This window comes from Homo sapiens, chromosome 1, assembly GCF_000001405.40.
Source record: "Homo sapiens chromosome 1, GRCh38.p14 Primary Assembly".
Taxonomy (NCBI): domain Eukaryota; kingdom Metazoa; phylum Chordata; class Mammalia; order Primates; family Hominidae; genus Homo; species Homo sapiens.
In genome coordinates, this window is record NC_000001.11 from 6,312,502 (window position 1) to 6,337,440 (window position 24,939).

Consider the following 24,939-nt stretch of genomic DNA (forward strand, 5'->3'; position numbering starts at 1 on the left):
CACCCAGGCTGGCTGGATTGGAGTGGCATGATCTTGGCTCACTGTAACCCCTCCCTCCTGGGCACAAGTGATTCTCCTGCCTCTGCCTCCCAAGCAGCTGGGATTACAGGCACCCGCCATCATACCCAACTAATTTTTGTATTTTTAGTAGAGACAGGGTTTTACCATGTTGGCCAGGCTGGTCTCAAACTCCTGACCTCAAGTGATCTGCCCACCTTGGCCTCCCAAAGTGCTGGGACTACAGGCGTGAGCCACCGCACCTGGCCGATGTACTAATTTCATATTGTGTGCCTGTATCAAACCATCTCATGTACCCCATAAATATATATACCTACTATGTACCCAAAAAATTTTTTAAAAAGCTGTCCACAGATGAAATTAAAACTTTTTAATTACATGAGGTGAGCCCACCTGCCAAAACTGCCTGGGAAGGGTGGCCTAGAGCGCAGAGATTGAGAGAGACATGACACGGCCCAGTGGGGACTCCAGACCAGTAGCCTCAGCATCGCAAGGAGCAAGGGGGCAGTGCAAGTTCTTGGGCCCCTTCCTACCTACCAAACACCTGGGGTGACCCCAGTGAGCCAGAACCATGGCTCTCAATGTGAGTGCACAGCATAATCGCCTGCGGCTGCTAAGCTGGTGGTGTCTGGGGGACAGGGGTGGAGAAGGATGTCACTTCACTTGGAAGAAACACCCAGAAACTGCAAACTACGTGATTTGCTATCCAGATAAATGGGTTAGTAATAAAAAGTCCCTGGAAGATCAAGGATAGGCCAAGGGCTGAAGGCTGGAATGGGGAGGGAAGATCAGGCCAGCAGACAGGCAGAGGTTGCGGCCAGAAAGTGGAGGGAAAATCTACAGTCCCTGAATTTCCCAGCAAAAACCTCAGAAGCCAGAAGACATGGAACAAACGCTTCCAAGCCCTGTAAGGAACACTTCCCCACACCCTGCTCAGCCACAAGTCTTTTCAGACGCGCAAAGCTTGGGAAGATGACCCTCTAGGCCCCATGACAGAGACTATCTCTTCCTTCATCAGTCACTCCAATGTCTAACAGACACGTCTGACCAGCGGCACTCACCCACCCACAGATGTGGCCACATGAGGACATTGTGGCCAAAAGGGGAGGCTGCAATTTTCAATATGCCCTCCACCCCTTTGGGGCTGGACGCTGATGAAGAGATAGGCAACATGTGGCTCACCAAGAGGGCACTCCCAGGCTGGCGGAGCCACAGGGCAGCAGAAGCCTGGGTCCCCAGCACCACGGGGCTGCCTATCGGCTGTGGATCGCTCACAGCTGCATTGTTAGTTCAAAAAAAAAAAAGAAAAAGTCCTCTCTCTTGTTGAAGCCAAGCTGTCTGGGTGGCAGCTGAGCCTTTATTCCAGTTAATATATTGCCTTTCTTGGGGAGCCACTGGAGGACATGTTCCACCAAAACCAGCAAAGAGAAAAATTGAAGATCCATGAATCCTGGCATCCAACCCAGGCGAGTGCAAAGGCCGTCCCAGGAGAGCAGTTTAGAGCAGGCACAGAATGAGCAACGTGGAGGAGGACTGAAGGCGGACCCCTCTAGGGAACATGGCAGGGAACAGTTCCGTGGCAGGCAGACTGTACTGAGAGCATCTTACAGAGCTGCTGGAGGGCACAGAACAACCATTGGCTTTCGTAGTAACACCGTTTCGAGGGAAAGTAATCACAGTACCCCACCTGATGAACAGTGATGGGGCTCATGCATCTGAAACTTACGCATCAAGGGACAGCAACAGAGCCTCATGCTTAGGAAGCAGAGTCCTGAATCAGAAACAGGAGCTACCCCTGCAGGAGCGATGGGAGGAAGAGAGACCCACAAGCCCTCTGGATTGTTTCCACATAATACTTAAGTATAAAATAATTAATTTAAAAATAAAAAATAAAGTACAAGGAAAAAACTAAGATGGCCAAAAGTTGAGAAGTGAAGAATGCATGCTCAAGACTCCTCTAAGGTCTGCCTTGAACAGGGCTACCGGCTGACCCCCAAGAACTTCCCTCTCCCAAGGTCTGGACCCCCACAGGTATCTGCTAGGTCACCCCTTCAGTCTGTACAAGCAAACGTGGGGGTAGTGGAGGGGAGAACAGGGGGTAACTGGTCTTTTCTGGGCCGATCCTGAGCACTCTATGCAGGAGGGTGGGGGACCATGGAGTGACTCACTCAGGACTCAAGGGAAGACAGAAACCAAAAGCCCAGTTTGCCCTCTTCACATGCCCTTCAACCCAGAACTGCACGCACACCACCAACCCTCCTCCCGCATGGGATGATGACGGTCCTCCACACCCTCCACGAGCCATTCAACCCAGAACGGCAGAGACCCCGCCAACCCTCCTCCCTCATGGGACGATGACGGTCCTCCACACCCTCCACGAGCCCTTCAACCCACAACTGCACACACACCATCATCAACCCTCCTCCCGCACGGGACAATGACCCTCCACACCCTCGGGCTCACTCCCCAGATCTCTACTATTCCCCTAACTAAAGACAGGAGGTTCTGTCCATGCAACCAGGAAAGCAGCAGTGAGCTAGTGTCTGGTGGGAGCACTGCGTTCTCCCTGTGATTCCAGGCAGAAGAGCTCCTCCCTTTCCAAGACACCCTTCATGAGTTTATCACCACCCAGACCTGTGTGGAAAGTCCTCAAGACCAAGGCTAGCCAGTGTGTGGAACTCACAGAAAACGGGACTCGGGCGCAGCTTTGCGCAGTCTAGAATTACAGAATAAAGGCTAAATTGGCATCCACTTCACCATTTTCTTCTGCAACTGGCATCTAGTGAATTACAGTTTAGTGAAGATTTTGATTCAAATGATTTTAGATGCCATTCTTGCCAACAGTACTTTACAGGAAAATACGATAAAATCACAGTTCGTGTTTTCAATGTGGTGTTTATTTTATTCATTCACTCGTGGTGAGTTACCAGGCCCTATAAGAGAAGGTTAAGGCTGGGCACGGTGGCTCATGCCTGTAATCCCAGCACTTTGGGAGGCCGAGGCGGGCAGATCACGGGGTCAGGAGATCGAGACCATCCTGGCTAACATGCTGAAAACCCGTCTCTACTAAAAATACAAAAAATTATCTGGGCGTGGTGGCGGGCACCTGTAGTCCCAGCTACTTGGGAGGCTGAGGCAGGAGAATGGTGTGAACCCGGGAGGCAGAGCTTGCAGTGAGCCGAGATCACGCCACTACACTCCAGCCTGGGTGGGCGACAGAGTGAGACTCTGTCTAAAAAAAAAAAAAAAAAAAAAAAAAAGAGAGAAGGTTAAGCTTGGTAAAATTATTAGATTTTTTTACAAATTGTGGGCAGAAAATCCCTACTAAAATAGGCATTATTGTAAAGCCATTATTCCTAATACACATCTTAACATGTGCCTGTATCAGTGAAGCAGCTTAGACACCGTAAATGAACATGACATGCTGCGGACTTCCAAGGGGCTTCTCCAGTGACTTCTCCCACTCCTGGCATCTCACTGATGCCTTTCAGCACATAAAGAAAGAAAGACTGGGCTTAAGGGTGTGGACTTTTCAGCACGTAGACAGCGACGACGGAAATGCCCCATTTAGTGAAGAACGTCTAACATGTCGACAAAGTAAGCAGAACTCATAGCCCAGAGTTTCACAAATTCCAGGCAGAATGGAGCTGTATGAGTCTCAAACACAATACTCGGAAGTGGCAGAAGCCTGGGCTTGGGATGGCCAGGCTCGGAAGAGGGAGCTGAGCCCACCCTGGAATTCGAGGGAGGACAGAGACATGGGGGCAGTAAGGAAGGGGAAACAGGGAATGCCTCTGAGGCAACAGCTGTTCTGCGGGCAGCAAGACACTCAGATTGTCATAGTGCTCGTGGGCCTGGAAGTGCTGTTATAAAGCACAGCTTCCCTTGGCAAGACCATAGTTAATCAGATTTACGAGCAGTGCAGCCACCACTGAGTGGGAAGACGAAAACAATCATGAAGTAGGAAAAAGAAAAAGAAACAAACTTTGGAAACATATCTCACATCAGGGCCGGGCGCGGTGGCTCACGCCTGTGATCCCAGCACTTTGGGAGGCCAAGGTGGGCAGATCACTTGAGGTCAGGAGTTTGAGACCAGCCTGGCCAACATAGTAAAACCCCATCTCTACTTAAAATGCAAAAATTAGCCGAGTGTGGTGGCACGTGCCTGTAATCCCAGCTACTTGGGAAGCTGAAGCGGGAGAATCTCTTGAACCCAGGAGGCGGAGGATACAGTGAGACAAGATCAGATCATGCCACTGCACTCTAGCCTGGGCAACAGAGTGAGACTCCATCTCATAGGCCCAGAGCCAATGTCCCAAACCTGAAAGTGATTGGTGCCTCTCACTCATGGAGTAAGTATCTGCAAGGTGCCCCTTTGACTCTCTGTGGGTGCTGGAGCCAACACAAAGAATATGATCCAATCCCTGCTCCTGAGGTGTCCCTGGTAGAAATATAAATGTAAGCCAGCACAGAGTGGTGTCGTTTGAGCTGGGTTTTGAAGGATAAATAGGAGTTTTCTGAGTGGAGAAGAAAACAGAACTTGGTGTTCCAGGCAGTTAGAAATGACAGCATTGTGCAAAAGTGCCTGTTATGCCTGGGACAGATGAATAGCTCAGTACACCAAGAACAGCTGCACCCAGCCTTCATTAACCACACAGCACCTTCACAACTTCTGCTCTCACTGATACCACTTCACTATGATCTTATCTCCTTGACGTTTTTCTTCAACCAACTTGTTTTTAAAAGCTTACTTTGGTCTTCTTCAAAATTACAGTAGCCATGAAATTACAGGTTTGATATGCTATCTACATTTTCTTTAAATCATGAAAAATAATTACACATTATTAAAGTAAAAAGTGTCCATCTGTGAACCTAGAGCTAAATCCTCTTGCGTTCCAGCTGTTTCCCAAACTCTGGGAAGCCAAGCTACGAACTTTAAGGCCTGTGTTGTTTGAGAAGAGATCTGTACTTACTGGGAAAAAATAAATGCAAACATTAGAGGAAAAACATTATTAACGAGTCACTGCCGGTGAGTCACGATGCTAGTCTTTGGGGCCATCGGTGCCCTGCAAGGCCCTGCCCTGACCCTCAGCAGGCATTAAACATCTCACAGCTATCAGATCCCGGGGCTGCATGTGAGCCTCCCCAGGGACGCAGTCATCCGTTTAATTTTTATCACCAATTTGAAAAATGGGTGCCAGAGTCTTTCTTTTTTTTTTTTTTTTTTCTTGAGACGGAGTCTCACTCTGTCGCCCAGGCTGGAGTGCAGTGGCACGATCTCAGCTCACTGCAACCTCCGCCTCCCAGGTTCAAGTGATTCTCTTGCCTCAGCCTCCCGAGTAGCTGGGACTACAGGCGCCTGCCACCACACCTGGCTAATTTTTGTATTTCTAGTAAAGATGGGGTTTTGCCATGTTGGCCAGGCCGGTCTTGAACTCCTGACCTCAGGTGATCCAGCCACCTCGGCCTCCCAAAGTGCTGGGATTACAGGCGTGACCTATGGCGCCCAGCCTGCCAGCATATTTCTGTGATTTATTGTTCAACCTTTTCTTTTGAGATAGGGTCTCGTTCTGTTGCCCAGGCTGAAGTGCAGTGGCACGATCATGGCTCACTGCAACTTCGACCTCCTGGGCTCAAGCGATCCTCCCACCTCAGCCTCCCAGTAGCTGGGATCACAGGTGCAGGCCACCATGCCCGGCTTATTATTTATTTTTTTGTAGAGACAGGGGTCTCCCTATGTCGCCCAGGCTGGTCTTGAACTCCTAAGCTCAGGCAATCCTCCCGCCTCCATCTCCCAAAGTGCTGGGATTACAGGCATGTGCCACTGCACCTGGCCTATTGTACAACTTCTTGGAAGTTTGTACTTCACCAAACACAAGAGCCTCAAGTGTGTCAGACAGCAGCACGGCTGCCAGAGAAGCAACAATGAGCCAAGGGACAGGAATGGAGTGGCCAGGGCGCTTCCTTCTTACCTCCGTGCACAAAGCCGTGCAGGGTGCAGTCTGAAGGCCCCACCAGGTGGATCAAGCTGGACTGGCTGTAGCTGACAGTGTTCGGCTCTGGAATTGCAAAAGAGAGAGATTAGTTATGGGGTAGGCTGATTCCCACAGCTGAATGGTCTGGCAATGCCGAAACCACCCTCAGGTCTACACAGTCAACGAAGGCGTCCAAAGCCGGGTTCAGCTATGATTTCTCTAAGGAAAACTATGGTCTCCAAACAGGCTACAGTTGGTGAAGGAGAGGTTTTCAAGGATTCATGACCCATTCTGTTAGTGGGCCATGACGAGACTCTCTGGGGCCATCAGTGCCCTGCAAGGCCCTGCCCAGGGGTAGCCATGAAACACCTCAAAGCTGTGAGTCCCGGGGCTGCGTGTGACCCTCCACCAGGCTCTAGTTAACCATCTGACTTGCATTTCCAATTTTACAAGAAGTGCCACAGTGTTTCTGTAATTTACTCCACAGCCTGAGAATGTACAGCTCCACAGGGAGCAAGCTGTTCCCTCTGGCCAGCCCCCAACCCCATTCACTGCTCTATCACCTCACTCTTGCAAGAGCCCCAAATATCTTGGAGGAGCTTCAGTCACCCAACACTGCACTGCTCCTGAAATATCTTTAAGAGGCCGCACTTAAGAAAAAAAGCCGATGACATATAACGTCCAGTCTCTAGAAGGTAGACCTTTCTTTTTTTCTTGAGACAAAGCCTCGCTCTATTGCCCAGGCTGAAGTGCAGTGGCACAATCTCAGCTCACTGTAGCCTCCGCCTCCTGGGTCCAAGCAATTCTTGTGCCTCAGCCTCCCAAGTAGCTGGGATTACAGGCATCTGCCAGCACACCTGGCTAATTTTTGTGTTTTTAGTAGAGACAGGGTTTCACCATATTGGCCAGGCTGGTCTTGAACTCCTGACCTCAAGTGATCCACCCGCCTCAGCCTCCCAAAGTGTTAGGATTACAGGCGTGAACCACCTTGCCCAGCCCAATATATAATTTTTGAAAAGTCAGTTATCCTTATTGTTTTCTCTGTCTGACAAAAGAAAATGGAATTACCATGAGCTCTTCGGATTCATAGCTGTCAGCTGTCCAGCTTTGACCATGTAGGGACTATGTGGCCACATGGCTGTCCATTTTTAGGGTTTATGACAAAATTAGCCCTGCCTCAGACAAGTTCAAGTGCCTGCCTCATCCCTGGCGCTTGCGTTGAAAACAGTGTTCACTTCCAAGCCTGGTCCAGCCCTTCCAGAGCAGATGGGGTCCTGGCAGGTCACCTAGCCCCGGCTCCTGGGTTGGGATCCGCCTTTCTGGGGTCAGGCAGTGCTCTGGCCAAGCCCCAGGAAGATCCGCCCTGAGCCATCCACGAGGGTGCGAGGGCTGGTGAACATGGTCAGGCCAGGGGCTTGGCCCTGGGTCTGAAACGCCTCCCACTTGATGTCTCTGGCCCTCTGGCCAGGCCCATAGTCCTGCTCCCGTAAGCAGTAGTTTGGAGGCTGAGGGCATGGGGGAAGCAAGAGAGGATAGGGGAGGAAGGGAGGTTCTGGAGTTGGACTGCCTGGGTTTGAATCCCAGCTCTGCTGCCTTCATGGGAACTTAACCTCCCTTTGCCTCAGTTTCCTCAGCTGGAACCAGAGATGGTGAAAGCAAAACTATCGGGTTATGAAGATGATGTAAACACCTAGCACACACGAAGCCCTGTAAATAGCTTGTCACATAGGACGGGATCCGAAAAGGAGAGTTTTGTGTTTATGGCTGTGTAAACCTCGCCCACTGCTATCCTGGGGGCCTGGTTCAGGCTCCTCACATCATTTTGAAACTGCAGGTTCACAGATTAGGCACTGTGTCAGTCAAGATCATAGTCACTGCTGCAGCAGATAAACCCTGAAACCCTAGTGGGTCACACAGTGAGGTTGATTTCCTGCTAGGTAAAGTCCAAATCAGGCTTTCCTAGTGGGGTAGATTTCCTCCAAATGTTGGAGATGCGGGGATTCAGGCCCCTTTGGTCCCGTAGCTCCATTACTTTTAATGGGTAGCTTTGAAGGTTACCTTGGAAAGGGACAGAGTCGGGGGAGGCTCACACACCTGAGGTTTTGATGGGTCAGGCCTGGAAGCAGCATTTCACTCTGCTCACACTCTAGACATGGTATTTTCACACCCGCTGCAGGGCAGGCAGGGCAGTGTGGCCCTGCTATGTGTGGAGACAGGCTTGGTCATCTCTGTCTGGTTCTACCCCTCCAGTCACCAGATCCCTGTTGTATTCTTTGCACACGTGGAGCACCTCACCCTCAAGGACGACCACCTGAAACCCTATCCGGCCTCTGCGCTGACCTCAGAGCGCAGCAGCTGGTCACATGCATGCAGTCTTCTCCATCGTGTTTACACGCAATTCTTCATGTTCCTGCAGCCAATGAACTAAGAAGATGAGTTACCTACACTTGCACCCTTTATACAGCAGCGGAAGAGGGAACAGAAGAGCACACTCATTCAGGAAAGGAAAGAACACAGGAGCTACCCAGGAGCCCCTGGCCCAAGCAGAGATGACTCCCGCCAGGGTCTGAGCTATGGCCATGGGGAAGGGTCTTTAGTTAGACTCTGATTCCACTCTTGGGGAGGAACTACATGGTCCTTTGCTCAGCCTCCTGGAAGGTTCTTCCCTGTTGGTTATCCACCATGGCCTCATCCAAGCGGGCACTGGGAAATAGGGGCCCACGGCCCACCTCCTGCTTGTCTAGGTTTGGGGAGGTTACTTTAAAGTTTGAACAGTCAAAAGCTTTTTTTCAGTCCAGGCAAATTCAGTTTCCTCGTAAACTTAGTAGGCATCTGATCTGTCTGCCTCCAGTCAGTTCCATGTGACAGGAACCACACCCAACGTTCTTTCCAAGTGTCACGCTCAAGCCTGGTGTATTTTTTTTACTTTTCCATCCCACTCCACTCCACTCCCTTTCTCACTCTCTCAAGACACATGTGGGTGTGTAAACCACACTTTAATCTGATTTTTGACACAAGGCTGAGTCTTTTTCTTTTTTGAGACGGAGTCTCGCTCTGTCACCCAGGATGGAGTGCAGTGATGTGATCTCGGCTCACTGCAAGCTCTGCGTCCCGGGTTCACGCCATTCTCCTGCCTCAGCCTCCTGAGTAGCTGTGACTACAGGCGCCCGCCACTGCGCCCGGCTAATTTTTTGTATTTTTAGTAGAGACGGGGTTTCACCGTGGTCTGAATCTCCTGACCTCGTGATCCACCCACCTCAGCCTCCCAAAGTGCTGGGATGACAGGCGTAAGCCACCGGGCCCAGCCAAGGCTGAGTCTTAATGGGCTTTTGATTTCAGTCTCCTTCCGTTCCCAGGTCAATAAACAATAGGCTTTTCCAATCTTTTCATGCCGCCAATTTCTGGCCTTCTCTCAGAGCCCCACTCCTCGTGGTATTGTGGGTTTCAGGGTGTACTAAATTCCCCTGAGGCCCAAGGTGCCCTCGGCAATTGCAGGCTGATTCTGGACACCCCTAGACCCTGGCAGGCCCACGCTGAAGCAGCAGGTGGGAGAGCAGGCATCCCCTCCCTTGGGCCAAGCCACAGGTCGTGCGAACTGGCTGCAATGCAGGATGTCGGGGCCCCCAGGGGCTCCTTCCCAAAAGCCTTGGCACTTGGAGGGGTCTGTTGGTTGGCTTTGAGATCGCGACCCTGCACGCCAGCTCCCAGAGGGGCCCAGATGCAAGGACCTCTTGACGCATATTCAGGAGGGTGGGCTGGGTGGGGAGGCCCCCAGAATGTGGCTTTTTGGGAGGAGCTCCTCTACTCTGCTTCTGACTCCATGACATGCTACTTCTCCCACACACCCTGGCATGAGGGCAAGCCCAGGGCAGGAATGAGGAAACTCACATGGCAGCTAACAGTGACCAGGAGAGAAGGGAGGGGAGGCGGTTTGAAATTCTGTGTGTGGAGTGTACCCGTGTGCTGGGGCCGCTGTAACAAGAGTGCCCACCAAAGGCTGGCGCCTTAAGCGGCAGAAATTCGTCTCACAGCCCTGGAGGCTGGAAGTCCCAGGTCAAGGTATCAGCAGCTGGCTCTTCCTGAGGCCTCTCTGCTGGGCTTGTAGATGCCGCCTTCCCCCGTGTCCTCACAGGGTTGTTCCTCTGTGTGTGTCTGTCCTAACCTCCTCTTCTTGTAAAGACACCAGCCCACCCTAATGACCTCATTTTAACTTAATTACCTCTTTAAAGACTCTTTCTTTACATTCAGTGACATTCTGAGGGACTCAGGGTCAGGACCTCAACATATGATTTGTGGTGACACAATTTAGCAACCATGACCCAGAGGCACATCAAAGCCTCGGAAATGACACTGGGGCCGGGCGCAGTGGCTCATGCCTGTAATCCTAGCACTTTGGGAGGCTGAGGCAGGTGGATCACCTGAGGTCAGGAGTTCGAGACCAACCTGGCCAACATGGTGAAACCCCTCTCTATTAAAAATACAAAAATTAGCCAGGCATGGTGGCGGGTGCCTGTAATCTCAGCTACTTGGGAGGCTAAGGCAGGAGAATCACTTGAACCAGGGAGGCGAAGTTTGCAGTGAGCTGAGATCATGCTGTTGCACTCCAACCTGGGCAACAAGAGCAAAACGCCGTCTCAAAAAAAAAAGAAAAACAAAGCAATGAAATCGGACACTTAGGAGACCTCAGGTATCAACTTCTGGGTCAGGACCACCCTTCATCCCACCAGCTTTTTCGGCTACTGAGAAACATTACTTGCCTAAGGCCAGACCTAGAAAGGACCTGTCTTCACCTGAAATGAGTCCCAGTCATTTCGTGGCCCAGTGGGCTGGCGTGTTCAACAGCTTGGGGCTTGTCAGTTAGGAATGAGCTACCCTTTCTGAGTGCCAGCTGTCCTGGGCAGGGAACAGATGAGGTCTAGTCCCTGACCAGGTCTGCCTTCTGGCCAGGTATGGTGGCTCACGCCTGTAATCCCAACACTTTGGGAGGCTGAGGCGGGCGGATCGCCTGAGGTCAGGAGTTCGAGACCAGCTTGGCCAACATGGCGAAACCCTGTCTCTACAAAAAATACAAAAATTAGCTGGGTGTGGTGGCACATGCCTGTAATCCCAGCTACTCAGGAGGCTGAGGCACCAGAATCGCTTGAACCCAGGAGGTGGAGGTTGCAGTGAGCCGAGATCGCACCATTGCACTCCAGCCTGGTCAACAGAGTGAGACTTGTCTCAAAAAAAAAAAAAAAAAAAAAATATATATATATATATATATATATATATATATAGACAAATTATAGCTGTATATATTGGACAAAGGACTTTTAAGGAACTCTCAGACTCTGAGGTACCTGAAAGACGAGGCCACCCCTGTGGAGGTTGCTAGGCAACAGTCTGAACTCTTGCTCTAGGATGAGGTCTGGGATGTGGGATGGACAGGGGCTGGGAGCAGGCAAGTCAAAGGCCAAGATGGCCTCTCCAGGGCAGAGACGGAGGGTCCTCCCACGGGATGGGATAGCACGTGTCACACCTGTTAGAAAGACCCCAGTGCCAAGCACATACGCACACTCTTCTCCCAGAGCTGCTGTTCCCCATTGACCCGGACGCCCCTGCCAAACCCAACTCAGGCTAAGCCACCATACAGGAGACCAGGCTGGTCTCAGATGAGCCCACCCCTGGGCTCCCGAGGGTACCGGGAAGCCATGCCACTGAGATACCGGCTCTACCAGGAAACTGGAGTCAAAGATGCAGATGTTCAGAAATGCTCAAGAAAGAATGGACATGGGACTTCCTAAGAAATATTTAAAAGCCGAGTCTCTAATCCAATCATCTGAGGAAGATACATTTTTATAAAACAAAAAAGTAAAAATAAAAGCACATACAATCAGGAAATCGAGATTCAGGAGGCCAACTCTGACTGACAGTGAATAACACATTCTGAAAAATATCACGTGTAGATTTACAGTCAATCGGAGGCTGGCAAACAGAAGAGAATCCCACGAGTAAAGGAATTTAAACTGATTGAAAACCTTGAGTAATTTTAGTGTCCCTGAGGATCAGTTAAAGGCAGAAGCTAGGATCTAATCCATGCTTCTCAAAGCCAGAGTCAGCCCAGCAGTGCTGCCCACACCCCCCGGGGTCTGGCACCTACCCCAAGCTCTCTCCAGAAACCGCTCACAAAAAGGTAGGTCCAGGCAGCCCCCATGTTCCATCCAACCCTCTCCTCCAGGACCCCTTTGTGTTAGGCTAGACATAGCCTCTTCTTGTCTCTTGCAAGGGCACTGATCACTGGATTTGGGGCCCACCTGCATAACCCAGATGATCTCAAGATCCTTAATTTAACCACATCTGCAAAGACCCATTTTCCATATAAGGTCCCATTCACAGGCTCTAGGGATTTGAATGTGGACATATTGTCTGGCCCTGAGCGCTGTGTTGGTGCCTTTCCTAAGACACCTCCCGTTGCTCCCATCCCATCCCATTCCTTACAGCCGGTGTCTGACCTGACTGCTGGGCTGCCCTCCCAAAAGCACGGCCTGGGCACTGCCTGCCCCAGCACGTGCCTCCAGGCCTGTCTGGTGTATTGCTGTGTTGATAAACTGGCTGTTTAAATTTTATTTTTAAAAGATATCTCAGCCGGGCGCAGTGGCTCACGTCTGTAATCCCAGCTCTTTGGGAGGCCGAGGTGGGCGGATCACGAGGTCAGGAGATCGAGACCATCCTGGCTAATACGGTGAAACCCCATCTCTACTAAAAATACAAAAAATAAGTGGGGCATGGTGGCGGGCGCCTGTAGTCCCAGCTACTGGGGAGGCTGAGGCAGGAGAATGGCGTGAACCCGGGAGGCAGAGCTTGCAGTGAGCTGAGATCGCGCCACTGCACTCCAGCCAGGAGGATAGAGCGAGATTCTGCCTCAAATTAAAAAAAAAAAAAGATATCTCTTTACTGGGGTTTCATCAAAGCAGCACCATTCTTTCTATTAATACTGACACATTAATTTTCTTTCTTTCTTTTTTTGGTGTTTGTTAAAAAGCAGACATGAAAAGAGAGGAAACCTACAGTGGTTTCCCCAACAGTAAAGAAACCGACCTACCCAGTCCCACTGGCCTAAGGTGACAACCAGTCCGCTTTTGGCAAGTTGAGGCTGGAGCACAGACTGAGTCAGAGACACACATGTGAGACCAAATACACACAAACTCCTGTTCAAGCCTCAAGTTGACCCGCCCAGAAAACAAGCACACTCCTGCTGCATGCCAGCAGCCAAGCCCAGAAAGCCATGCTCTCATCTGTGCGCCCACTGGGTTTTCACCAGTCCCCTTTGGTGCTTATGTGGACTAAGCAAGGGAGGTGAGCGGCCATAACAATGCCCCGAGTCCAGGTTAGCAGGGGCCAGGGCGCCTCTCGGCAGGGCTAGGAGCAGGTGGACCCCAGAGTGGAGCCCACATCACAGGCACATCCAAGGGGGAAAGGGATTACTTGAGGCAGGTCCTCCACCACTGCTGAGGGTGGAGGCAAAACAGAGAAAGCTGAGTAAGAAACTCAAACACCCACCATGACCAGGGTCTCCCAAGGCATGGTGGGGGGCAGCAAACCCTCCTCAGGCTGCCATCCCGCATGAGGTACCCTGTGGAACCCAGCACAGAGCACGAATGTGCCACGAGCCCAGGCCATCGCAGGGAGGCAGAGAAGCACACAGTGCGTCCTGGAGGGAGTTCTCCTGCCACTACGACAACATGACCACCATGTGTGCAGTAGGGAGAGGGGTAATGCTCGTTGCCTGCCCCCGAGGGCTCACCCTTTTCCTAGGGGGACAGATGCTCCCCAGGGCCCCCTGCCCTGAATTGTTTCTAGGAACGCGGGGAGTTCTCTGGGTAGAAAGTCCTTGCTTGAGGCAAAACATCTCATCGTGCCTTCGTTTAGATTTTGAGTGAACATTTTGTTAAAGCCAGAGCACCCTGACATGAGAGCAAGAGGATGGATGGCAGAAGGGACCAACACCACAGGGAAACTGGGCATGCCACAGAGCCCAGTGCCTACTGGCAGAGCCCCTCCTCCAATCAATGTCTGAACAGTGGGGCCGGGAAGAAGTGGCGCTTGAACAGCTGCTGCCGTTTTTTTCTTTTTTGGATGAGTTGGAAATCCCATCAAGAACAAGCCACTTGGCCAGGTGTGGTGGTTCACACATGTAATCTCAGCACTTTGGGAGGCCAAGGCAGGCTCATCACTTGAGGTCAGGAGTTAGAGACCAGCCTGGCCAATATGGTGAAACCCCATCTCTACTAAAAATACAAAAATTAGCCGGGCATGGTGGCACATGCCTGTAATTGTAATACCAGCTACTCGGGAGGCTGAGGCAGGAGAATCACTTGAACCCAGGAGGCAGAGGCTGCAGTGAGCCAAGATTGTGCCAGTGCACTCCAGCTTGTGTGACATAGCAAGACTCCAACTCAAAAAAAAAAAAAAAAGAAAAGAACAAGCCACTGAGCGAACACAAGGAAAAGATACAACAAAAACAAATTCCTTGTGAACAGGTGCACACCACCTGCCTGGCAATGGAGGCCCCACGCACAGTGCCCTCTGGGACTCCCTGAGTCACGCAGGTCGCCTTCCAGGTGTGTGACTGGAGGGGTCTACATGGCTCAGGGCGGGGCTGGGGGACAGCCCTCCCTGGGGACCCCAGAGAAACTGGTTCCCGGAGAGCATGCTCAGCACCTGGGGAACCTCAAGCATGAGGCTCACGTAGGCCCGGCCTGCTCCTGCCTCCTATGCGTCCCCGGTGAGGAGTGGCACCTGCTGCTGGTGTCCGCGGCTCTTACCTGGGTTGAGGACTGGCTGGACGATGTCCCCGTTCCTCCACTTGGTCTCCATGCGCTCCAGCTTCTGGGCTTCATACCGCTTCCGGCCCTCCTCCTCCTGCTCCTGCCGGGAATACTGCGAGAAACCAAAGACAGGTCAGGCCCAGGCAGGACACGGCCTCCTCCCCTCGCTGGGCGGCCATGATCCCAGGCCCTTATAGCCTTGTGTAACTGGGACTATTTTTTCTTCTGTTCATGTGTGTTTTAATATAAGTAATAAGAATACAGAAACAGTGAAATCCCATGTGGCTCCACTCCCCAGAGAGACAACCTGGGTCAAGTGTTTGGTTTAGATCCTTCCTGGAATTGCTTTAATGCCTACAAATATATAAAAAGCTCTATGGTGCTGTATGTGGAGCTTAAAAGCAACCGTGTATCTATTTAACGTAATTTTTGTAACTATGTGGGCACTTAGCTTGTTCCCAATTTTTCTTTACTTTTCTTTTCTTTGTTTTTGAGATGGAGTCTCGCTCTGTCCCAGGCTGAAGTGCAGTGGCGTGATCTCAGCTCACTGCAACCTCTGCCTCCCGGGTTCAAGTGATTCTCCTGCCTCAGCCTCCCCGGTACCTGGGACGACAGGTGCCCGCCACCATGCCCGGCTAATTTTTGTATTTTTAGTAGAGATGGGGTTTCACGATGTTGGCCAGGCTCATCTTGATCTCTTGACCTTGCGATCTGCCCGCCTCAGCCTCCCAAAGTGCTGGGATTACAGGCGTGAGCCACCGTGCCCGGCCCCCGCTTTTTCACTATTAAAACCATACTGATCCTAGGTTACTTAAAATCATTTTGCACTGTCCCATTGCTTCCTAGGATTCATTACAGAATAAAGGGATCCTCAAAAAGGCCCCACCCACTCTCCAAAGTCCATGACAGAGCAGGAACCCTGTGTGTCCCTGCTGACCCTTGGCCAATCAAACAGGTTATATATTGGTAGAGAATGGGCAGTAAAAGATGGAACTGTCCTCCCACGGCTCTCCAAATGAATCACAGGGGTTTTGACTCCAGAAGTTAAAAATAAATGTGACTATAAGACTCAGCACAGGCCGGGCATGGTGGCTCGTGCCTGTAATCCCAGCAATTTGGGAGGCTGAGGCGGGTGGATCACTTGAGGTCAGGAGTTCGAGACTAGCCTGGCCAACATGGTGAAACCCCTGGCCAACATGGTGAAACCCCGCCTCTACTAAAAATACCAAAATTAGCCAGGGGTGGTGGTGGGCACCTGTAGTCTTAGCCACTCGGGAGGCTGAGGCAAGGGAATCGCTTGAATCCGGGAGATGGAGGTTGCAGTGAGCCGAGATTGCGCCACTGCACTCCAGCCTGGGCGACAGAGCGAGACTCCGTCTAAAAAAATAAATAAATAAATAAAAAACACCAACAACTCAGCACAAAAGCCAAAGCTCCTGAGTCCCGGGACACAGCAGGGGGATACTGCATTTCTTGGACGTAACAGACGGTTCACTCACTGCCCTGCTGTGCACACTGGAGGGGATGCACCACACTCGGATGGGACCCTCGGAGGGGCCCTCGGGGCCTGTGTGCTGGCCGCAGGCTGGTTCCAGACCCTCTGCCTGCTCCATCCCCCACGACCTTCTCCCTCCCCCTTGGCCTGGCCAGGGGCCGACTACCACCTGGCTGTTCTGATTAGCCTCCACTTCTGCTCTCACATTCACTCAACCAACCATTCCAGCTGAGCTTGTGGGGAAGCCACGGAACTCAGGGCCCCTCTGGGCCCCTCGGCCGCCTGTTGAAGCCCCTCTGACCTAAGCAAGTTCACTTCAGACGGCTGTGTTAGGCCTTCTTTCAAAAGCCAGTTTTAAACATCTCGATAATTCCTGCTCATGGCTCAGCTCCAAAATTGTGCAGGGTCTCAGCACCATTCACCGTTCCTCGGCGTAACTACCCATCATCTTCAGTTGAGAACCCATCTTCAAAAGAGGCTGAGAAGGGAGCTGAAGCGTTTGTTCAAAAGAAGCAAACTGTGGGGAGTGTTTTAAGTTGCAGTGGATAATTCAACCTTTTCCTCCATAAATAAACCACGTCCTAATGTTCCACCGGCCAAGTAACGACTGTGAGAAGAGAGTCTGTGCTGTGTATCTACCTAGGAACATTGGTGGGTGAACTTCAGCATCCTCAAGAGATGCCTTTTAAAGGGATTTTTTTTTTTAAAGGAGCCAGCCCCCGGTCTAATAAATCCTCATGGTATCCAGTACATTTGTCTGGGCTTGGCAGGCGCACAGGGAAATGATGGGGCCCAGTCCTGGACACAAGCCATGAGGAGAAGCCCAGCCTCCTCCCCAATGCTGCCTTTCCATCTGGGAACAAAACCGCTGGAACATTTTAATGATGGCTGGCACCTAACTCTCACCCCCGAGAGCTCATCAAACCCAACTGATCTGAAGCAGCAGACAGCGTGGCCCAAATATCTGAGAGACAGGCTGTGAACCTCTTCGCTAGAGCACATATTCAGACATTTGAAAAAAACCAAAGCATCCACCCCCGACAGCCACTCAGCCTGTCCAGGGCTGCGGCTGCCCCTCTGGTCATCCTGGGGCCCCTCGGGCCCATCACAGGCCCACCGAGGTTCCCTGCTCACTGGGAAAGCTGCAGGCAGGCTGGGGAGGAAGGTGGAGCAAAGAAAAGACATCCTGCGCTAGACGACTGTGCGCATGGCCGGCAGCTGGGTTCCTCCAGGGAGACGCACACATCCAGGAAACCAGTGTGTGTGTGTGGTGTGTGTGTGTGTGTGCGTGTTCAAGATATCTACATGCATACGTATGTGACATCTCTATTTGTATGTGTATATATAATATATATCTGTATATCTATACATACAGGGACGTACATTTTCCTAAATCGGGGATGGCTGTCTGTAGAAAGGTCAGCGGGAGCATGCTCATGCAATATAAGACAGCCCTGTGGCCAGGCCACCAGCAGATGGGCATAAATGCCCATCGGAGCCAGGGAAGGAAGCTGTACTTTCTGGGATTCCTAAGCAGGCCTCTGGCCGGGCCCACCAGTGAAAAACAGGAGACCTAGATTCCAAATCAGTGGGAGGTTTATACTACGTGGGCCTAGCGTGTGTTGGGGGGAAGATGGTGCAAAGAGCTCTGAACAACAGCTGCAGCTGAGAACCGTGCAGCCTCTCCCATCTGCGGCTCCGGCTGCCTCGGAGCCATGGAATGGTTTCAACAACTCCTCGACAAGGCCAAGTTGGTATTTATGTCTCATCAAACCCACTCTACAAAGGAAATGAAAAAGCAACTGGGAGCTCCTCCAGGATGTGGGAGGGAGGGAGCTAATTACTGGGCAAGGAGAGGCGAGGCTAACAGGGGCCACGCTGAAAGCACCCTGTCCCTGCAGCGAGGGGATGGGAGCCAGGGGAGTCAGAAGCTACCCGTCCCCTCCACTGGCCAAAAACCCAACAGCTCTTGGCGCATCGATCCTAAGCGACAAGGCAGCAAAAGTGACTGTGTTCAGGTCCAGGCCCGCCCCTCGGTATCACCCGCCTGAGATGCACCATCAGATGCTGAAGCCAGGCATGGGGCCTGGGAGAGATTTCAGAACTGGGTAGCATCTGAAAATTAAATCCGTTAAATGCTATGTCTCAATATTTACATGTGATGTGGCTCACTGAACGCCAAGGGCTTAGAGAAAAGAATGAACGTGGGGTGGGTGTGCTTGCAATTCTGCGGAGAACAGCCAGGAGCCCCCATCTGACCCCTGCTCCTTAGGTCTTCAATCACCCCCAAGTTAGCACTGCTGAAAATGACCACAACTTCCATCTCAGCCAAGAAGCAGGGAGAGAACAGCCCCACAAGAACAAGAGACGGGAGAGGTTGTTGAACCGAGGGCTGGTGCAGTGGGTTGAACAGCATCCCTCAAAATGTATATCCACCTGAAACCTCAAAATGCAAATGCTCCAAAAACCAGGTCTTTGTAGTTGTAAACAGTTAGAATGAGGTCACAGCAGAATGGGACGGGCCCTGAGCCCAGTGACCCGTACTCCGGTAAGCAGGCCGTGCGAAGATGGAGGCAGAAGCTTCAGTGACGCAGCCTCAGCCAAGGGACGCCTGGAGCCACCCGGCGCTGGAGACGCCAGGAGGGATCCTCGCCTGGGGCCAATGGAGGGCGCAGGGCCTTGCCCATACCTTTGCACTTCTGGCCTCCAGAACTGTGACAGAATCAACTTCTATTGTTTGAGAGCTACCCAGTCAGTGGCACTTTGTCACAGCAGCCCCGGGACACTGTCAGGTGGGAATATGAGACCTCGGACTCCACACCCCGACCCTGAGCCCCCGCCCACTGGCCAGATTCTGGCATGCTGCCATCCTGCTCTCATAAAACCAAAGGTGCAGCCACCAGCCTGCCCTTCCCATTAAATATGGACAGGGCTCCCCTGTCACCAAGATTAAAAAAAAACAAAACCTAGGCCAAACAGCAGCTGGACCCGGCAGCCAGCCACACCCACCTGGGGAGACACCCCACCCAGACCTTCACTGCCCTCTGAGGAGACCCTGGCAGGGTGCCTGGTCAGACACGGAGCTGGGGACAGAAGAGACGGCAGGAAGCAGGTCTCAAGGAGCACCTCCCCAGTCTCACATGGGCAGTGGCAGCAGGGACCGAGGCCCCATCAGCCCTGGTGACCGGGGGGCCACGGGAAGATGGAGAGCCAGGCCTCCTACAGGCGGGAAGTGGCCTGCACCCGGCAAACGCTGGGGAGGGAACCAAGGCTGCCGGCAGCGGCAAGAGCACCCAGCGTCTCTATTGGGTCTGGAAGCAAAAAGAGCAGGCACCAATTCCTGACAATCTGGTTCTCAGTTTTATTATTTCTAAAAATGTATTCTATATATATATCTCAGCCGGAGGAAAAGCTCCCTGCCGGGGCCCACACTGCAGAGACTCAGAATCCTGGTTCCTTCCCTCTAAGAAGAGCTCTTCCTGGGGGCTGTGGCCTGTGGACCGCAGGGTCAGGCTGCGGGAGGAGCTGGTCACATCTGTCCTTGGACTTGCCAATGAACTTGGGGCACAGGAGAAGGAGGCGAGGGAGTACTTTTAGGCAACGAATTAAATTTCTTTATTCCCAACGTCTCCCCTCCAGGAGTCTGTATGTGTGGCTTCCACAGGCTTCGCCCACAGGCCCGCCCATGGCAGGACCCCTCTGACAACATAATGAACTGGTATTATGAAAGGTGCTTCTGCCGGGCGCAGTGGTTCACACCTGTAATCCCAGCACTTTGGGAGGCCGAGGTGGGTGGATCATGAGGTCAGGAGATCAAGACCATCCTGGCTAACATGGAGAAATCCCGTCTCTACTAAAAAATATATATAAAATAATTAGCTGGGTGTGGTGGCGGGCGCCTGTAGTCCCAGCTACTCAGGAGGCTGAGGCAGGAGAATGGCGTGAACGTGGGAGGCGGAGCTTGCAGTGAGCCGAGATCGCGCCACTGCACTCCAGCCTGGGCAACAGAGCAAGATTCCGTCTCAAAAAAACAAAAAAAAACAAAAAAAACAAAAAGAAAGAAAGAAAGAAAGATGCTTCCAACCACAGCGAAGCCAGAAATGAGAGAAACACAGAGAAGGAGACAGACCCCAGCAGGGGACAAGAAGGGAGAAAGACAAAAGCTCATATGACAACTGTTTCCACAGCCACTGCGTCAGAAGCAGAGATCAGAACCAGCTTGCAGGGGCCACGGGGGAACAGCTGGCCCGGCCCCCGCAGCCTGGTGGTCCTGGCTCCCGAAAGGACATGTCACTATCACGATCCTGTCACCGTCTTTTCTCTGGTTAGGGAGTGTGACAAAAAGGTCCCTAGGTTGGAGGGATGTTTATGTCCACGGGTTCTGGGCCAGCTTGCGCTCACATTCCCAGCATGAATTAAACATACATTAGAAGATCCCACACAGACATGTCTCCTCCCCACCCGTGTTTCCTCGGAGGCAGGACAGAAACTCCTGTGGAGCCAGGGATGCCCTGCCCAGCCCAGAGGGGACACTGCCTGCTGGCGGACCTGGCCCCCTGTGCCCTAGCTCTGGCCTGTTGCTCCCTTGAGACCCTTAGCTGAACGAGCCTCCCAACATCAGGTGAGGTGACCTGATCTCTGCCATCTGCCCCCAAGAGAGAAGTAGAAAGGGCACCTTACCACAACAGGAGGCACCTCGAGGACCTTGTCCACATTCTTCAGCGACAGGGGCACATACCACAGGGTGGCCTTATTGGTCAGCTTTTTGGCACCTTAAGAGAAGAAAATCACATTAAGTGACGCCCGGGAGACGGGGTGGGAATGTGAGCGTCCAGGCACGTGGCAGGTGCTGCTCCAGCGCCCGGTCCCAGTACCTGAAACACACCACAGTGTGCACCACCTCTCTGGCCCCCAACCCCCAAGCCCCCAAGCCCCCAAGGCCTTTTCAGCATCCTGGCTGGGGAGTGCTGCCATCATGTGAGTGTGGACAAACAGAACAAGAGACCCCAGAGCCCATGGAGAGAGGCTGCGTGGGGCCCACCCCCATCACAAGGCATGCCCCCCCAAAACTGGCTTGAGCTCAGGACCCCAGCCCCTCCCAACGCACCCACTCTGGGGCAGTTCTCCCTTTCCAGGGGCTGCTGAGAAGACTTCAGACCACGTGGTTTAAGCCTGGATGGTCCGGAGCTGGTCAGCCACAACACCCAACAGGGATCACCCTGGAGGGCACCAACTGCAGGCAACCTCCTCTTCCTGGTGTTTTGACAGAAAGGGAGCTTGATTATGAAAACACATCAGAGGCTCCCAACGAGCCTCCCAGACAGAGGGGAAGGACTGATTGGCTGCAGGCAGACGCCCTTCGTTCTGCCCGGGGACACGAGGCTGAGCCCGCTTCACCTGCTGGCTCAAGTCTCCAGCAACTGATCGCTGCTGACATCGAACGTCAAAATCAAAAGTGCCTTGCTGGGGAACTTGACGTCCTGATGCTCAGACACGCAACGTCTTCTGCAGATCCCATCCACCTGTCTAAGCACTGCCAAGAACTCCCGCCAAACGGGGAAGCCCAGAAAGACACTTGGCCCATACAGACGTGCAGGCTGCAGAGGCTCAGGAGGATGTGGAGGCTGTGCCCAGGCAGAGCAGCCCAGGGGAGGGGCAGGGGGGACGGCCAGGGCCCCCACAGCCCAAAGCACAGAGCAGCGGAGCCAGCTCATCAAGCTCCATTTTTGCCACCCCAGGAACTTCCTTTCCTTCACACCAGACACTCGGGTGTGCTGCCAGCCCATCCAAAGCTCCACCAGAAGCTTCCAGGTGCCAAGAGACGGGCTATAGGCTGCTGACTCCTTGGGGCACTGAGCCCACCCACAGAGCAAAGTGGGGCTGCAGGACAGGGAAGGCTGTCCGTGCTGAGAAACAGAGGCTCGTGGCCTGCTGGGGCTAAAGGAGCCTAGAGATCCCTGGTGTACACCCCTCACTTGTACAGAAGGAGTCTGAGGCCCAGAGACGTCTAGGGGTTTACCCAGGGTCACACAGCAACTTGGTGCCATACTCCCATGTCCCAGTCATTTCAGAGAAGTATCTGCAAGGATGCCTTTAAAAAGTGGCTTTGTCAGGCACGGTGGCTCACACCTGTAATCCCAGCACTCTGGGAGGCTGAGGTGGGTGGATCACTTGAGCTCAGGAGTTCCAGACCAGCCTGGGTAACATGGCGAAACCCCGTCTCTACCAAAAATACAAAAAATTAGCTGGGTTGGCTGGGCACGGTGGCTCACACCTGTAATCCCAGCACTTTGGGAGGCCGAGGCAGGCGGATCACCTGAGGTCAGGAGTTTGAGGCCAGCCTGACCAACATGGAGAAACCCCGTCTCTACTAAAAATACAAAAATTAGCCGGGCGTGGTGGTGCCTGTAATCCCAGCTACTCGGGAGGCTGAGGCAGGAGAACAGCTTGAACCCAGGAGGCAGAGGTTGCGGTGAGCCGAGATGGCGCCATTGCACTCTAGGCTGGGCAACGAGAGCAAAACTCTGCCTCAAAAAAAAAAAAAAAAAAAAAAAAATTAGCTGGGCATGGCGGTGCACACATGTGGTCCCAAAGGCTGAGATAGGAGGATCGCTTGAGCCCGGAAGGCAGAGATTACAGTGAGCCTAGATTGCACCACTGCACTCCAGCCTGGGCGACAGAGCGAGGCCCTGTCTTAAAAAAATAAATAAAAGTGGCTTCTTCAATGTGGAAGATCCTCACTATAAAGCAGAAGAGCAAACTGCAGGAAGTAATGGAGGAAAGGGAGACAGGAGCAGCCCCAGGGCCCTGCCCAAAACCCCCAGAGGAGCTCACTTCCCACCAGTTACCTGAACCTGCCTCCCCAAGGCAAAGCGCTTTTCCTCCTCAATAAACACAGCCCCAGGCTCCAAATCAAGCCCCAGGGGGCCCATTAAGAAAAGGCCTGTGCCTGCCCCTCCTCCCCGCACAGAACACACCTTGGGAACGTGGGGCTCCCAGTGCTTGGGAACCACAGGCAAATAATATGGGAAAATATTTCCACCGCACTTTGACTGAGAGTGAATCTGACAACCTGCTTTTGGGAATAAAGATTTCCTGTTGGATTCAGCTAGAGCCAGCCTGACAAGCCGGTTTCCATGACAACTCGAGTGGCCCTCTGGACCTAAATGAACACCATGGAGCAAATGAGGCAAACATGCTAATTGTATTTTCTCCATCATTTAATGAAAGCATCAAAAGACAACGGCAGTATTAGAAAATTATCTCTCGGCCAGCTGCGGTGGCTTACGCCTGTAATCCCAGCACTCTGGCAGGCCGAGGCAGGCGGATCACGAGCTCAGAATCGAGACCATGCTGGCTAACAGGTCTCTACTAAAAATACAAAAAAATTAGCCAGGCATGGTGACACGTGCCTGTAATCCCAGCTACTCGGGAGGCTGAGGCAGGAGAATCACTTGAACCTGAGAGGCGGAGGTTGTAGTGAGCCGAGATTGCGCCACTGCACTCTAGCCTGCACGACAGAGCAAGACTCGGTCTCAAAAAAAAAAAAAAAAAAAAAAAAATCTCTTAAAATCTTAAGAGCTCCCAGCTATTTTTCTGGAGCAATTCACAGCAATCACATCCCAGTTAGCTTAATATTTTGACAGTTGCTGGAGATAAATGAGCTGCCTCAAAGGCAAGGTTTGCGGGTCGTCTGCCTGGGCCTGTGCTCGCTCAGCGGCCTCGTGACAGGCAGCACAGCCCAGGTAAAGGGGACACACAGAACAGGGGACCCCTGTCTCCTGGGGTGGAGACAGCACACAGATGTCACGCACACAGCTTATGACTCAGCCTGCTCCGGGCCAGGGTCCCCGCGCGCATCCTCTGCCCCCACCTGCAATACCCCTATCTTTCAGAGGTCACCACCCATTCAGCCAGTGCTCCCCGTGTGCCCACAGTGTGCCAGGCACTGTTCTTGCTGTTGGGGCCTTCGAGTTCAATTTCCAGGGGACACATGGGCAGAGACAGAGAAGGGCCTCAAGAGAACAATAGAGACTGCAGAGAGAGATGGCAGAGAAGCAGAAGCACAGACGAGGAGATGAGCGAGACAGAGGGGGAGATGAGACTCGCAGTCACAGAGTGAGACAACAGCGGGCTCCGGGGCCTGACCAAGATATGGAGAAAAGCTACAGCCTTGGGGCTCCAAGGCCTCCCTGCCCAGCCCCTGCTACAGGGAAAAGGCTGAAGCTGGGAAGAAGAACCTGGGGCACCGCCCAGCCCCACTGGGAAAAGCCTTCATGTGCTGGCAAGCGTATCCTGCCTTCTCCAAGCCTCACGCGCACGACAGCGCAATGCCAGCCCTGATGTCCCCAGGGAGGAGGGGTGGGCATCTCTGTCCCTCTCTGAGCCCATCCTTCGGAGGAGGAGGAGAAGGCCGAGGGCTGTGGTGGCCAGGACACAGCTGGGAGGCCGAGAAGCTCCCAGCACCTTCTGGGTGAGCTGGTGGGGGCTGCTCTCTCATGCTCACGCCTGCCTTGGCTCTGCACAGGAGCCTCTCCCCCTCTCAGCCCCTAAAGAGCGAGGGATCCTCACGAATATGTCAGATTGTGTCGTCCTCATCAAAACCCCATCAGCCAGCATGTCTCAGCACTGATGCCCAGTTCTT

At 52.7% G+C, this 24,939-nt stretch overlaps 1 protein-coding gene across 5 annotated transcripts in view, besides 1 other annotated feature; it reads right to left on the reverse strand.

The window, feature by feature from the left end:
* The window catches only part of ACOT7 (acyl-CoA thioesterase 7), a 129,496-nt gene that overhangs the window by 48,230 nt on the left and 56,327 nt on the right, over positions 1-24,939 (reverse strand). For all 5 annotated transcript variants that reach the window (NM_007274.4, NM_181864.3, XM_047443399.1 and 2 more), the window contains exons 4-6: positions 20,976-21,067; positions 14,798-14,912; positions 5,991-6,077 (exon numbers count right to left, since the gene is read on the reverse strand). In NM_007274.4, the coding sequence (NP_009205.3) occupies positions 5,991-6,077; positions 14,798-14,912; positions 20,976-21,067 (294 nt within the window). The remainder of the gene's footprint in view (positions 1-5,990; positions 6,078-14,797; positions 14,913-20,975; positions 21,068-24,939) is intronic.
* Positions 23,597-24,331: an enhancer, noted in NCBI's record as "H3K27ac-H3K4me1 hESC enhancer chr1:6396158-6396892 (GRCh37/hg19 assembly coordinates)". NCBI's record gives its function as "activates a minimal SCP1, AML or CMV promoter by ChIP-STARR-seq in primed H9 embryonic stem cells {active_cell/tissue: H9 hESC(primed)}" and the evidence as "EXISTENCE:reporter gene assay evidence [ECO:0000049][PMID:30033119]".